The sequence below is a fragment of the Homo sapiens genome, chromosome 3 (assembly GCF_000001405.40).
Source record: "Homo sapiens chromosome 3, GRCh38.p14 Primary Assembly".
Lineage (NCBI taxonomy): Eukaryota > Metazoa > Chordata > Mammalia > Primates > Hominidae > Homo > Homo sapiens.
Window position 1 is genome coordinate 42,541,300 of NC_000003.12, and position 15,042 is coordinate 42,556,341.

The window sequence follows — 15,042 nt, forward strand, 5'->3', positions numbered from 1 at the left end:
GACACAGCCTCCTAGGAAGAGGGACAGTAACCCCAGTAGGCTATGGGGATAAGGAAGACAGGTCAGAAGGCCACCCTGGCAATGCCCCAGCCTCTATACAGGACAGACGGGGTAACCAAAGGCCAGAGAAGGGAAAGGACATGCACGAGATCACCAGGAAAGTCACTGATAGAGCCTAGCCTTGAACCCAGTTCTCCAAACTTCAGAGCCCTGCCTCTTCCATTACACAGATCATCATAGGTGAGACCATTAGGGATGCCCTCTGTGGAAACACATGAAGAGCAGGCCTAATCAGTGACACTGATTCTTTGTTTAAAATCTTGATATTTTGCTGATTATATATGTTTTGCGTTAATTTTGATATTTTAAAAATATTAGATTAAAATATTATCTTGATCACTGAGGTTTTTTTGCCACCCCTTTCAATTTTGCACCTGAAGCAAGTATCTTGCTTGCCTCACTCTAATCCCAGCCCAGCTCCCGGGATCCCAGCATCCCCGTGTCCCAGGATATTAGCATGGAAGAAACTCTGGAGAGCTCCAGACTGGTCTTTACGTGTCTCAGAAGGAAAAGATCCTGTCAGGGTGATGTCTACTAGAAGGAGGCAGCTCCAGGGCAAATTCAGTGGCTCAGCAATATCACCGCAGATGTAGGTATTTTCTGTCTGTCCACTCTGCCATCTCAGTATGTGGACTTTCATCCTCAGACTTACCCCCTCATGACTGCACAATGACTGTTGCTGCCCAAGCATCATGTTCCCACAGAACCCCATCCACTGGCAGGGAGGAGAATTTCCTCTATATGTCTCCTTTTATCAGGGACAGTCATCTATCCCAGGACCCACCTTTCGCACACTCTCTTCAGGCCAGGATTAGGTCACATACCCAAACCACAGCTGCAAAGATTGGTGAGGGTTCTATAAGGGAAGTTGATCTACTGAGAAAGAAATGGGGATGGCTGCTGAGTAGGTAACCAACAGAGTCTGACTCTCAGTCTCTTTTTGGACATTTCTTGGGATAAATGTGTGATCTTTCATATTCCTCCACCTGAGCCTAGTGGTGCAGTATATGGGGGAGGGGAGAGATCCAAATCAGTCATGCTTCAGTGTAAGAGACAGAAAACGTTCCGGGTGTTTTGTACAGAAAGAGATTGAGTGTAGGGAATTAAATATAGGAAGGCTTGGAGGGCTGGAAGTTTGGGTGCACCTCTATCCATGGTCACACCATTGCAGCTGCCACCTTGCCGAACATTACTGCCAATATCTCGGTTGCACATCCATTAAAGCTAGTGACAAGAAAGCAGAAGGAACATAGTGTCCTGCTGCTGCAGAAAACTCAGGTCTGCCATATCCCACCCATCAGCCACCACGCTGCAGGAAACACAGCCTTTACTTTTCTCTGCTTCCCAACTGTCTTGGTGGTGCTTCCCTCTGGTAGAGCCTAAGTTGCATCAAATTCCTAGCAGTGAGAGAATTCCGGAAAGGAAGCCTTGAGCCTTCCAACCCCAACAAAGCAGGGGAACATGGAAGGGGCTAGAGAAGAGGCTGAATGCCAATAGATAATTTCTAGCACAGCGGCTCAGGTGGCATTGTAGCCCAAGTCCCAGAAAACAGAGCCTGAGACAAGGGCCTGTGACCAGGAAACAGAAGAGTGAAACGGGGAAGTGAGGAAAGCCAATATAAAGGTGAGTCATCAGCCCGGGCAACATGGTGAGACCCTATCTCTGCAAAAAAATTAAAAAATAAAAAAATAGACGGGTGTGGTGGTGCACGCCTGTAGTCCTAGCTACTTGGGAGGCTGAAGTGAGAGGAACACTTGAGCCCAGGAAGCTGAGGCTGTAGGGAGCCATGATTATGCCACCGCACTCCAGTCTGGTGACAGACCAAGACCCTGTCTCACGATAAAGGTGAGTTATTGCACTGGCCACTACTGGGGCAACAGGACTCAATTCACTGGGACCCTCTGCAGGGCTGGCAGAACACGCCCAAAATCGTCCTCCTGAGGGACAGAGAAGGAAAGCATTAACCACTGGCTCCCAGCCTCTGTTGCTCAAGGTTTGCCCACGTTAGCCCCCTCACTCTTCCAGGCTTGACAGGCATGAACAAGAAGCAGGTTCCTGCAGGCATCCCATCACATAGTCAGAGGAACTCCGGGGCAGAAAGGGCCAGCTATGTGGTAGAGATAGGGTGAGGAGCTGTCAGGATCCCCCACCAGGAAGCTGGCTAAGGTTGGCCAATAGGGAATGAGGCAGAGGACCCAACACAGGTGGCCTCCTGGGGCTGAGAAGAGGAGCCCCACACAAAGGTCCTCGTGCACTAAGGTCTGCATGGACACTCACTGGTCCTGCTGCCAAGGTCTTTGGCTGGGGTACTCATAGCTGCTCTCTTGGCTGCAGCCCCAGGGTCTACCCAGCTGACTTGGCCCCACTGAGGCTCACTCTGGCCCCTCACACCGCTCCAGGCTCAGCCATGCCATCACCCAGCCATGCCATCACCCAGCCTTGGGTGTGAGCTTCCCCCCGCCATGGCCTCTGTGGCACTCACTTCACCATTCACCATGGCAACACCATGACAGACCCACCAGTTCCAACTCCGCCACCTTTCTCATGCCCCAGGGAGCATGCAGGAACTTCTGAGTCCCTTCCAGGCCTCTGGGAGCTGAGGGTAGCTTGGTGGTGTTCACTCAGATCTACTTGGCGTTAAATTTATAGATCCACCATTTTATCTAGAAGGGCCACTTAAGGGGCACAGGTTGCTGGGAGGACTGACTTCCTAACACAGAGTGGGACACACACACCCTCTGTTTTCAGGTTTCAATGTGTCCCTTCAATATTTCCTAGGTAATGAGACCAGGTGGGCTTTCCTCCCTTCCTTCTATCCTCACTTTCTCCTTGCAGAGATGACATACCCCTCCTCCACATTTCCCCAGGTCATAATGGTGGAGGGCTTCAGAGGGATATAATCTCAGGGGCCAGGTAATGAGAACGGTATCTGTTTAATGTTTTCAAAGTATTACCATCATATTTTCATTCAGCAAATAATTACTGTGTGCACAGTTCTAGACACTGAGGATGCAGTGGTGAACATGGCAGAGCCCTTGCCCTCATGGAACTGACCCTCTAATGGTGGAGACAGATAGTAAAAGAGAAAAGTTACAGAAAAAGAAGGCAGGATGAGGGTTAGAGTGAGGGGGGTGCTCTGTTAGTTGGGGTGGCCAGAGGGAATGACAGTGGGGCAAGAGCAGGTCATTCCCCCTCCCTGATGATCAGAGGAATTTAAACCATATGCATCAGAGCTGGGGCTCAGAGATCTTGCAGTCCAGGTCAAAACATCCAGTTCCCTGCCTCTGCAGAAGCAGCCTGGACAGTAGCTAAGGAGAACCAGGTGGCCTGGGGCCTCAGCAGGGTCTGAACTCCCCTAGGCAGGGGCTCAGGGGCTGACCAAGCAGTAAGGAGAGGATGTCTGGCTGGATATGGTGAGGCTTGTTTCTTGGGTCCCTCATTGCAGCAGTGACCCAGGCCCACAGACTCCATCTGGATGTGGAGTGTCCCCCCCGGCTGCCTCCAGCTCAATGTCCTCGGTGCCAAGTGACACAGAACAAGCAGCTCTTGAAAAGACTAATATTTACTCTTCAAACGAGAGCTGGCACAGGCTGTTTCCTGCAACTGGCGTCTGACTCGCCCTGTGGGATGGACACAACAGGAGGCACTCCGGGAGATAGGCAAATGTCCCCTCGGACGCCAGCATTCTGTATGAGACGATGTCTGTGAGATGGGGACAGCATGTTCCAAGGTTCCATTAGACACATCTCATTTCTGCCCGCACACCTCACAGTGGAGAGCTCACTGCCTCTCCAGCCCCTGCTGGACAGCTCTGTGAGAAAGTTCATTCTAATGCTGGCCCTGTGTTCCTTGCCCCGGCCCTTGCTCTGATCCCTGGGGCCTCAGGAAAAGCGCCTGGAATAACCCCCAGGGCTGGGGGAATAAAGGTCCTGGTCACCTTTATTCCTCCCACCCCGACCCGCCTCTGGCTTCACTTCCCCAGGCCCACACTCTGGGCTCTGTGGCCAGAACAGGATATTTCTGGGTTAGGAGGAAGAAATTGCCTTGAGGGCACCTCTGTCCCCCTGCAGCTGTGTTCCTTGTCCTCATGAGAGCCCTTTAGCTGAGTGCCTCATATGGGAAAGTCTTGACCAGGAAACTGCTGGTCAGACGGCTCGAATATGGGAAGGAGAGTCCCTAGTGGCTTGGGGGTCAGAACCAGCTCCCCCTGCCCACTTTCCCCTCTGGAGTCTCTCCTCTATGCTCTTCCCCACCCAAGCCCCCCATGGCTTCCAGAGCCTTCCCTGACCAATATAACCCCAGGCTTGTTTCCCCGCCCCTTCCCCCACCACTGCAGCCCTGTGCAGGCTTAAACACTCTGGCAGCATATGGGGCTTTAGAGCCCCAAAGGCCAGCCTTCTTAACCTTGTCATGTCAACTGCAGGGCTGGGCAAGGCCAGGACAAGATCTCCCAGGGGAAATGCAGGCCCACCCCATTCTCCCAGAGCTCTCATAACTGACTGCTGACACAAGCAACCCTCTTTTTAAAACAATTCCTTATTATCCCTATACCTAACTCCCAAGCTCCTGGTCCCTTGTAAGCAGCCATTCAAGTGTATTTAACATGTATCTTTTCGCATATATCCTCACAAAATATTTTATGGTCTTGTATGCATATATTTCTTATCATATAACGGTGGTTTTTCACTCAGCTCTAAGTTTTGAGGATTCATCCATGTGATGTTACATCTAAATCTGGTACATCTGCCTGCATCGTGGTGCTCCGTGGTGAGCCTGCACACTTTCTTTCCATGATGGATACACAGATTGCTTTCCACCAACACCAGTAAGTCTTCAATGAACATGTCCCCTTGAGGATCTGTATAAGAATTTTCCTGGGACAAATAACCAGAAGTCAAATTTCCACTTCACAAGGTGTGCACTCTTAACTTGGGTAAGTAGGCTGTATTAGTTTGTTTAGGCTGCCCTAACAAAGTAGCACAGTCTGGGTGGTTTAAGCAGACATTTATTTTCTCATGGGTTGGGACTTCAACATGTGAATTTTGGGGGAACAGAATTCAGCTCTTAACAGTGGCATGGCTCTGCAGATTGGCCGTGCCTCTCTACTCACTGCCACCTCGCACGAAGTCCTGCATCTCCACACTCCCTCTTGCACTTAGTGCCATAGAGCTTTGCAAGATTTGCCAAACTCATAGGTGTGAGGTGGTCTTATTGTTGTTTGAATGTGTATTAATGATTTAAAATCTCTTCATATGCTTATTAGCTTTTTACGTTTTCTCTTCTGTTAATTGTCTGCACATTTTCTAGTGGGGTTGCTCTTACTTGCTGATTTACAGGAATTTCTTCTGTTATTAATCCCTTAGTGGTTTCTGGCATCATAAATATCTCCTCCCATTCTTTTAACTTTGCCCATGAAATCCTTATTTGTATATAGTCAAATTCATCAATCATTTTGCCTTAAGGCAGTCCTTTTCCGCCACAAGCCACAAAGATAATCTTCAAGTTCTGCAACATATTCCACAGATTTTGCCGTCCACATTTGACTTAAGAAGTCCTTTTCCACCACAAGCCACAAAGATAATCTTCAAGTTCTTCAATGTATTCCACAGAATTTGCCGACCACATTTGATCCCAGCAATGTCTTGGTGCTGACTCAGCAGAGCCAGGTGGGCTCCTTAGAGCCTCTCCTCCACTAGCACTGCCCAAAGATGCTTGGCAGCTGTCAGGTAGCACTTCTGCTACCTGGGCCCCTTCAAGGGGTAGGCCCCAAGAAAAAAGAAGGCAACTCACCAGCCAGAACTTCTCATCCAGCCCTCCTGGCATAGAAGGAACATCTTTTATTCTTTGTGGGTATTGCCAAGTGGGGGACAGCCACTTGTTTCCTCCTCAGGGGAAACAGAGCTCCAAACTTTACTGTCACTGGCTCCCTAGAACAAGCCTCAGCTTCTCAACCTGAGCAAAAAAGTGGTTAAAGCAGATGGTGTCTGAAAACTATCAACTACCAAATCCCAGCACCCAATAACTCAGATGTTTATTTTGGAAGTCACTGCCTTCCTCCAAAAGATTCTGATTCAGGACAGATGGTGCAGAGACTCTTGGAGAGTGAATTCCCCAATGTGTTTAGAGGATGGTCAGGAGAGGATAGTGCATTTGCTTTCTTTCTGGGAATTTTATTAGCTGCTATAGGAACAGCCTTTGCTAAAGGCCACCTTCCCTTGGCTGGAAACCTGAGGAGGTGGCCGGCAGCTGCGCCCCCTGGTGGCCATTCTGTGGTCAGGCTGGTCCTGGGAGATGAAACTTCACCTTCACAGTAGACAAGAGCCCAAAACGCGGAGCACGGAAAGTGCCTGCTGCACATAGCAGGGCAGGGGCAGAGCCTGCAAACTGGGGAGGCCTCCCAGCCCCCAGGGCATTGTTGTGACTGCTATTTTGGTTGGGGGTTAGTACTAAAGACTATTTGAGCCCTTGCGCCTGTCTAGGCCTCACTGGACAAGATGACCTGACTTTCACTTCTTTCAACAACCCCCTCCCATTATGTCAGGCCCACATCACACTGTCTAGCAAAGGATCCATAACTCGGAATTTTTCACATAAGTGCAAAGACACATGTTAATAAACACTTTAGATTTATTCTGCCATTTCTGAAGCCACCTCATTTAATTTATACATAGGATATAAATGGCTATACATTTTTACACACTTTTATACAAGTTTAGGTTGTACTACTGAGTTTGTTAAAATGTACCCATTATTTACTCAAAATATTTATTGTTACAAGAAAACCGTAAGAAGCTTGTGTAACATGAACAGCAAGTATTGAAAACGAATATGTAAAGTAAATGGTTTTGCCCTGACTAAATCAGCCTCAGTATTTTATGCTTTTAGTAGAAAAGCCCATTAAACAAAATAGAATCCTGGGGGATCAAATCATATGAATGATTCATGAAATAACACTTCTGAAGCAACCCCAGAATCATATAAATGTAAGGGTTAAAGGTCATATGTACTAAGCATGGGTCAGAGGAATAGAATGGATTTGTTAATTTTACCCTAAATAAAAGGCGCTTGTGGGCAACAGCTCTGCCATCAATACACATGGGCAGATGTTTCCGAATCCAGCCATTCCCAGATTTCACTGACATGCCCTTTTCCACAGGCTCCCTGCTGATGAGATTTCCCCAGCAGCAGAAGTTTGACATCACTGCTCCCGGATGGGAGAATCAGAGCTCTCCTCATTTGGGTCAGGGGTGGCTGGCTCACGAGGTTTGGTCCAACCAGCAGAACCAGCTCCTTGGATCCTGGAATAAACCAAACATCAATGGTACCATGCGCTCTGTGCCCAGGGAGTGAAAGGCAGGTCCAGGGTGGGAAGAAGAGGGGCTGCTACCTTTTGGAGTGAAAAAAATGAGGTTTACACTGTAGTATAACAAAATGCCTTTTTGTAAAGGCCAGAAGAAATGGCTGTGCTGTGCTGCCTGAAGCAGAAAAACCTTCATGTACCAGGTGAATGTAAAGCCTTTCTCCTCCCACACACAATGGACTCACCCAGTATTACCCTCCACTACCACTTTTGACCCTCATAACAGCACCCTGGCGGGGGGGCAGATTGATGTTATCACCATTTACCAGATGAGGAAACTGAGGCCTGATGGGCAGTGATTTGTGCACTGCGACATAGGACTCAGTGAAGAGCCTAGCCAGCTGACGGTCAGCTGACTGGTGCACTCTTTCCCTCACCTTCTCTCTCAAGGGCACAGCTACACTCTTTCTCCACCATTATTAACACTCACAGGGCACAGGTAGAGCGTCCCCAGACCTGTGCAATATTCTACACGAAAACATTTGGAATGTGAGCAATGTCTGAACAGGGGCTTGCCAGGCACATCTGATCACCATAAATGCTCCCACCCCTGCCTGTCCTCACTTGTGCTGCACTATGCAAGCAAGCAGCAGGTTCTCAGAAGGCCACTGTCCTGCATGTCACAATGAGTGGCCAACTCCTTCACAGAACAGCAAATAGCAGCCCTGGCTACAAGGTGCAGTGTGCAACCCCCATATGCCAAGGGGCAGCTGCTATCTTCCAGCAGAGAGAGAACCCCCAGCTCTGCTCCCTACCTATGCCCTGCTTCCTGTGCCTCACACAGCCAGCCTTGCTGGCCTGCTGGCTATTGTCTCTGACTCTGAGCTGTGCTGACCACCAAGTGTTACTCCTCTCCAAGACTTGACTCCCAGGCATGGGTGGGAGAGTTGAACCTCAATGCAATCTGCTCCCACTCTGAAGCTCGTCTACCCACCCCATTTGTTACAATTAAAGATGGTTTTCTCATCCCTCCAGAGACTCCAGTTTCAGACTCTGTCTCCAGAGCTGGAATGTATAGGGCAGAGGTAGAAAGAGGCAGGAGAGTTGGAGAACAAGAGCACCTAGAAAAGAACAGAGGAGCTCAAGCTCATTTAATCAAAATGCTTAAATGTTTTAATTCCAGCATTCTCCAGAGTTCACAGAAAAGAGGGATGCAAGCCCAAAAAGCAAAAGCAGGAGCTTATGGTCACATGCCTCCAGCTGCAGGCAGTGGGGCCTCTGGTACTGAGAGGGAATGCCACCCGAATATGCCCCAGCTGTCTCCACCCAGGAAAAGGAAAGCCAGGTACACTTCTCATCACAGTAAGACTAGCCTAACAGGGGAAAACAGATTTACATGTTTCGTTCATTAGCATATTAGGGAAGGGGAAACCTTTTGGGCTCTGGCCCCGTGGTTGGGAAACCCTTCCTAAGAGCATGGAGCCACACTCTGGCCTTGATACAGTAGATGGGACTTAACACACTCTGATGCTCAAGGCCTTGCAGCATCTGATACCAGAAGGCACCTCTAAAGTTTTGTTTTCAACATTATTTCATCTATTCCCAGATCTAGTCCAGTGATGTCAGCTGCACAGGTAGCATTTAACTACTGGGAAAACAAAAGTGCTACAACAACAGTGAGTCCATGGTGGAGTGAGGATAACTCCTGGGATTTGGAACCAGTTTGCTGGTATCAAGGATCACACAAGAGGCTATAAACCTCCAACCCTGAACCAAGTCAAACCTAAGCCTGGGGATTTCCCTCGGATGAAATCACCAGAACTTCTTTCCTATTTTCAGTCTCTTCCTTCAGTGAGCTGAGGATTCTTTTAGCTAGCTGGATTTCAGTCAAACAATGTTTTTGTGGTCATTACTTGTACTGTTTTTCTAGTGCATCTTTTCCCTTTTGTTTGCAAAAGTCAATCTCACCCCATGTAGATGTTAACTGATATCCACACATTCGACCTGGTGTGGATAACATCTCTGGTAGTGCCTCGGTGGTCAGGAAGCATTACCAGGAAGGACTCATCTTCAAGGACCGTTTCTTTACTGCCTGCTGAATATGGATCATAGGCTCAGATGCCCAAAGCACCTGGGGTACAGGTCTACATGGCAACCCAATGCCACATAGGAAAAGAAAACAGTCCATTTTTAAGCCGTTCTTACCGACTTTTTTTTTTTTTTTTTTTGAGACGGAGTCTTGCTTTGTCACCAGGCTGGAGTGCAGTGGCTCGATCTCGGCTCACTGCAACCTCCACCTCCCGGGTTCAAGAGATTCTCCTGCCTCAGCCTCCTGAGTAGCTGGGGCTACAGGCACAAGCCACCGTGCCCAGCTAATTTTTGTATTTTTAGTAGAGATGGGGTTTCACCATGTTAGCCAGGATGGTCTCGATCTCTTGACCTCGTGATCTGCCCACCTCAGCTTCCCAAAGTGTTATTGACTTTTAAAGCTTTTTTGTTCTTCTCATTTAAAACATTTTACCTCCCCTCCTTAACTTCCCATTCTATTTCACCATCTCTTCAAAATTGTCTCCCAGAAAAACTGAAAATTCACCTGCTGGGTATGCAGAAAATTATGCAGATGTGAAATCAGTGTAGAGACAACTTTGGAGTTTATGTCTGAGTATGCTGCCAATATAATTTTCATATTCAGACTTTTTAGAGACAGGGTTTCACTCTGTCATGCAGGCTGGGGTGCAGTGGTGTGATTATAGCTCATGGAAGCCTCAAACTCCTGGACTCAAGGGATCCTCCTGCCTCAGACTCCCAAAGTGCTGGGATTACAGGCATGTGCCATCACATCCGGCTAATTTTTTTTTTTGTAGAGATGAATCTTACTATGTTGTCCAGGCTGGTCTCAAACTACTGGCCTCAACCGAGTCTCCTGCTTTGGCCTTCCAAAGTGCTGGGAATACAGGCATGAGCCATCATGCCTGGCCCATATCCAAATATTTTATGTTTGGTCAAAAATAGAAAATTCTATTATAAAAAATAAAGTTACTATGGCAACATTTTCCCAACATAGTTCCCAGTATATAAACTTATTTTTCTTAAAATGATAACAAGGTAGCTCAATAACAATACAATACCAGTGATAACCAAATATAATTGAATTTTTCTAAAACTACATTCTTACATTCCCTATCCACTCAACTCTTGTAATGGTTTTCCACTTTTAAAAACTATCAAAATAGGATTTTTAAAAATTTATCAAGACCACATAATGCAGTTGAACACTCAAAGTGTTCCATGCAACTGTGGTTGAACTATTCAGATTCCAGACTTCTACCAAGAACAATCCAAAGAGCAAACTCCCAAAATGACCTCCTGCGTGGTACAAAACAAGCCAGGCTGAAATTTCGGGAAACCTAAGGGATCTTATCCAGAACCATATTTTGGAAAACTGTGATCAATCAATTTTTTGACAGTGAAAGAGAGTAACTTTCCAGAGTATGTGTTAATTATATCTCTATCAAGCTTTAAAAAGTTAACAGATACTTAACTCTTGTTCATAAAAAATGAGGCCCTCAAGCTAATTAAGATGACTGGGAAAGGTGCAGAGGAGTAATTAATTTTGGAGGCGCTCTGGGAACAGGTACACAGGGTACAGTAGTCATCATCATTAAAACAACAGGCACTCAGCTCTACTGAAAAGGCTGATGACAGCAGCCCCTCCCAAGCGGATCTGTAAAGTGCCACTGAATCCATGTTCATTCACCTACTCCAGGTTGTGGTCAATTGTAAGTAATCCTGAAATTCTCATTTCTGCTCATGCTGACAAACTTATCATCTAGAAGTACTGGTTATTCAATTAATTTTTAAAATATTCGGATATACCCTGCAAATAAATATAAAACATCTCTGTACCCAAACAGTCCCACCACTATAAAAGGTTACATATAAATTAAATAAACTCAGATTTCTTAACCATTTTCTCAGCTTAAGTTTGCCCTCACCCTAAATGAAGTCCAATTTATATCCAAAATATAATTAAATATTCCAAAGGTATATCGAACCTAAGATATTGAAAAAATGTAAACAAAATTTATCTAGCTTACATTTATGAACCATATTTTTAGGTTTTTAATTCATCCTGTACTGACCCTCTGAAAAAAAAAACTAATCAAGTTATGTTTAGACTGAAAGCTGATTTGGATTTTAAAGTGGTTCCTTGGAGACAACTCTCAATGACTAAAACCAGTGTTATTGAATCAAGTGGTTTACTGTATCATTCAACTTAAAAGACCAAAATATTTCCTTTCTCTCTTCCAATAAAGCTCTTTCTGGATGAGCCCCCAGATCCAGCTGTCCTAGGTAAACGTGCTGAACTGGCTGGAGATCCTGCAGTAATGCTTGGCACAGAACCAAGGCTGGGTATCAAGCAACCTCATGACTTCCACTGCAACTGTTTAACATCCCCAATTCCTGGTTTTTCAGTCCAGTTGGCTGAAAAGGATGGAAACTGGAGTGTAAAGTAGAGAAGCAGAAAGAGAAACATAGATTGATCCTCAAAAGAAAATCAAAGAATCCATTCATCACAGTGTCATCCTCATACTCCACAGTCAGACTGCTTCTCCTGAAGCTGCCTTGTTAGTATCTGATATGAAGACAGAAAAGCCACTCCTATGTGGAAAAGGATTTGCCAGAGGTTCCTCAGCCCGTGCAGGTACATGTTGCCCAGGCAAATAAAGAGCAGCATAAGCACCACCTTCATAGTCCTGGCTGGACTGTAGAACAGGTACAAATAACACTGAAATGAGACCAGAAGAGGAATTCCAATCAGAGATAAAATGGCCACTAGATCATATGCAAAATTCACCTCCCACAGCTTCCATGAAGAGTGTCATTTCTCTCACATTAGCTGATTAAACTGAATTCATTACAGTAAAGCGTGGACCCACTGGTTAGGCTGCTAATTATTGGACGAAAGTGAGGATTTGGAAGATTAAAGGAAAGTGAAATAGATGTCACAGGAAGAATCAGTGCATGGCACATCTGAAAGAAGTTAAAGAAATAGACAGAAATGACCAGGCTGTTGGCAGTAGAGAAAGAAGAGCTGCACATAAGCTGCAGACAGCCAGGCTGCAGACAGGGGACCCTAACGTGACTGACTGGCCCCCCAGTGAAGTTTTTCTTCAGGGAGCCAGGACAGGCAAGCAAGCTGGTGAGAGAAAGCCATGCTTTTACTATTTTGGTTTCTCCTGAGCCACGACTACATTGAGCACCACTCTTCCCTTGGGCACCCTCCTTATCATGTCTTCCAAAGCATCTCTGAGTCAGGGAAAGGTCTCACAGCAGGGAGAGTGACTGGTATTTTGTGTATGACTATCACACATAAAAGGGGCCATTCTTGTTCTGCAAAAGGTGGAAACGGCATTTTGGTTCAATGCTTTGTTTTTTTTTTTTAAAAAAAGGACATCACTGAACATGGATCAATCTGACAAAGGTTCAATCTACAGAGGGAGGGAGTGAGCTATCCAACCAGGAACACAGTTGAAGGAATGAGGTGGAACTGTACAATCCCTGCAGTCCTAAAACATAGCTCTAGGAAACTGCCACTGGCTATGTCCAAGGTCTTGGAGACTTGTTTTCTAAAAAATGAATGCATTTTCATGGGTTGAAAATTTCTTTTTGCATAATCAGGTAATGCTTTTTCATTTTTTTTAGGCAATGTCTTTCTCTGTTGCCCAGGCTGGAACACAGTGGCGTGATCTCAGCTCACCGCAACCTCCACCTCCAGGGTTCAAGCAATTCTCATGCCTAAGCCTCCCAAGTAGCTGGGACTACAGGTATGCACCACCATAATCAGCTGATTTTTGTATTTTTATTATAATAGAGATGGGGTTCCCTAGGCTGGTCTTGAACTCCTGGCCTCAAGTGATCCACACATCTTGGCCTCCCAAAGTGCTAGGATTACAGGCATGAGTCACCACACCTGGCCTGGGTAATTCTTAAGAATAAACCATTCTAGGATGTATGTGGAAGAGAAGGAAAGCGTCCTAAGAACAGAAATTTTAATTTTAAAAAAAGGGAGAAAAAATATGTATTCAGAGACAGTGCTAAAATCCTAGTCCATACGGAGGACAAGGAAGGAGAATTAGAGCCACGCTTTCACTAGAATTAACTCTGCCTATGAGGGACTCAAAATCGCCTCTTTATGCCACCCCTTAGTACACAGCTTATATGAAAATAACTAATCAAAACCCTCTAGTTAATGTTCTAATGTTTGCTTCAGTTCCTAAAGAACAGGTCTGAGTCAGAAGGTATTACTATTTAAAACAACAACAACAACAACAACAAAAAAATCAGCAGTTCTTTGACCTAGTCTTATATATGTATATATTTTTTAAAAAATTTTTTGCAGAGGTCGGGCGTGGTGGCTCATGCCTGTAATCCCAGCACTTTGGGCGGCCGAGGCGGGTGGATCACAAGGTCAGGAGATCGAGACCATCCTGGCTAACATGGTGAAACCCCGTCTCTACTAAAAGTACAAAAAAAATTAGCCAGGTGTGGTGGTGGGCACCTACAGTCCCAGCTACTTAGGAGGCTGAGGCAGGAGAATGGCGTGAACCCGGGAGGCAGAGCTTGCAGTGAGCCAAGATTGTGCCACTGCACTCCAGCCTGGGCAACAGTGCAAGACTCCGTCTCAAAAAAAAAAAAGAAAAAAAAAGTTCAGAGATGGGGTCTTGCTATGTTGCCCTGGTTGGTCTCAAACTCCAGGCCTAAAGTGATCCTCCCACCTTGGCCTTGAAAAGTACTGGGATTACAGGTGTGAGCCACAATGCCTGCCTAGACCTATATTTTAAAAACTACATGTACACAGATGCTACTTTTATAGAAGGACATTTCTGTGCTTGGACTGTCCTAATAATAAGCACAAGGCAATATCTTGCCACTCACTAGTCAGGCCTAATCCAATCCCTATGTAATCTCATCCCTCCCTTCTGGGAAGTCAAATCCAAACTGCTGGTTTCTGTTCTGCTGCTGTCAATAGCCCCTTGGCCTTGAACAAGGGGCTTTCCCTTTATGAGCACAAAGTTCTTCCTCTGTAAAATGAGAGGACTGGCCAGGATGGGCCTAAGGTCCTCCACTAAGGGCTTGGTATTGTCCATGATGTGAACCATGACCTTGGTGGAACAAAAATCACATCTAGAAACTTGCTGATAGATGAACAGAAGAACAAAGTAAGGTCATGGATTTAATCCACTGACCAAAATATCGTTTCACCCACCTGGAAAATGCAGGCTACGAAAGGAACAAGAAAAGCCAGAATGTTTCCAATTTCCTCATGGGCAACCTAAAACAAATACAAGGAACACAAGGAAAGGGATATTTAGATGAAAGGAAACACTGTGACATAAAGCACTTTACTCTGCCTTCTGTCTGGTATGGTTGACAGTACAAAATCCCTGGCTGGGTGAGACACAAGTTCCTGTTTATGCACCAGATCAGGGTTAGCATACAATCGTTTTCAACAGCTTGGTCACAGCATGTGCCTCCTGTCCCCATGTGACTGTGCTAAGTCTGCAACCTGGAATGGGCCGCCAATCCCTCCACCTCTCAGAAACCTAAGCATCTGTTAAGACCTAGCTTTCTCTAATTCCTCCCATCTCCAGGCACTGCCGCCTCTTTAGGATTGCCAC

At 46.2% G+C, this 15,042-nt stretch overlaps 1 protein-coding gene across 11 annotated transcripts in view; it reads right to left on the reverse strand.

The window, feature by feature from the left end:
* Positions 1-6,669: 6,669 nt before the first annotated feature.
* Positions 6,670-15,042, reverse strand: part of SEC22C (SEC22 homolog C, vesicle trafficking protein) — a 53,110-nt gene continuing 44,737 nt past the window's right edge. For 5 of the 11 annotated variants that reach the window (NM_001201572.2, XM_047449170.1, XM_024453814.2 and 2 more), the window contains exons 6-7: positions 14,631-14,696; positions 6,670-7,358 (exon numbers count right to left, since the gene is read on the reverse strand). In NM_001201572.2, the coding sequence (NP_001188501.1) occupies positions 7,317-7,358; positions 14,631-14,696 (108 nt within the window). In that variant the 3' untranslated portion in view covers positions 6,670-7,316. Of the gene's footprint in view, positions 12,150-14,630; positions 14,697-15,042 lie in introns of all 11 variants that reach the window. The other 6 variants (XM_047449168.1, XM_024453812.2, NM_032970.4 and 3 more) reach the window with 2 other exon arrangements.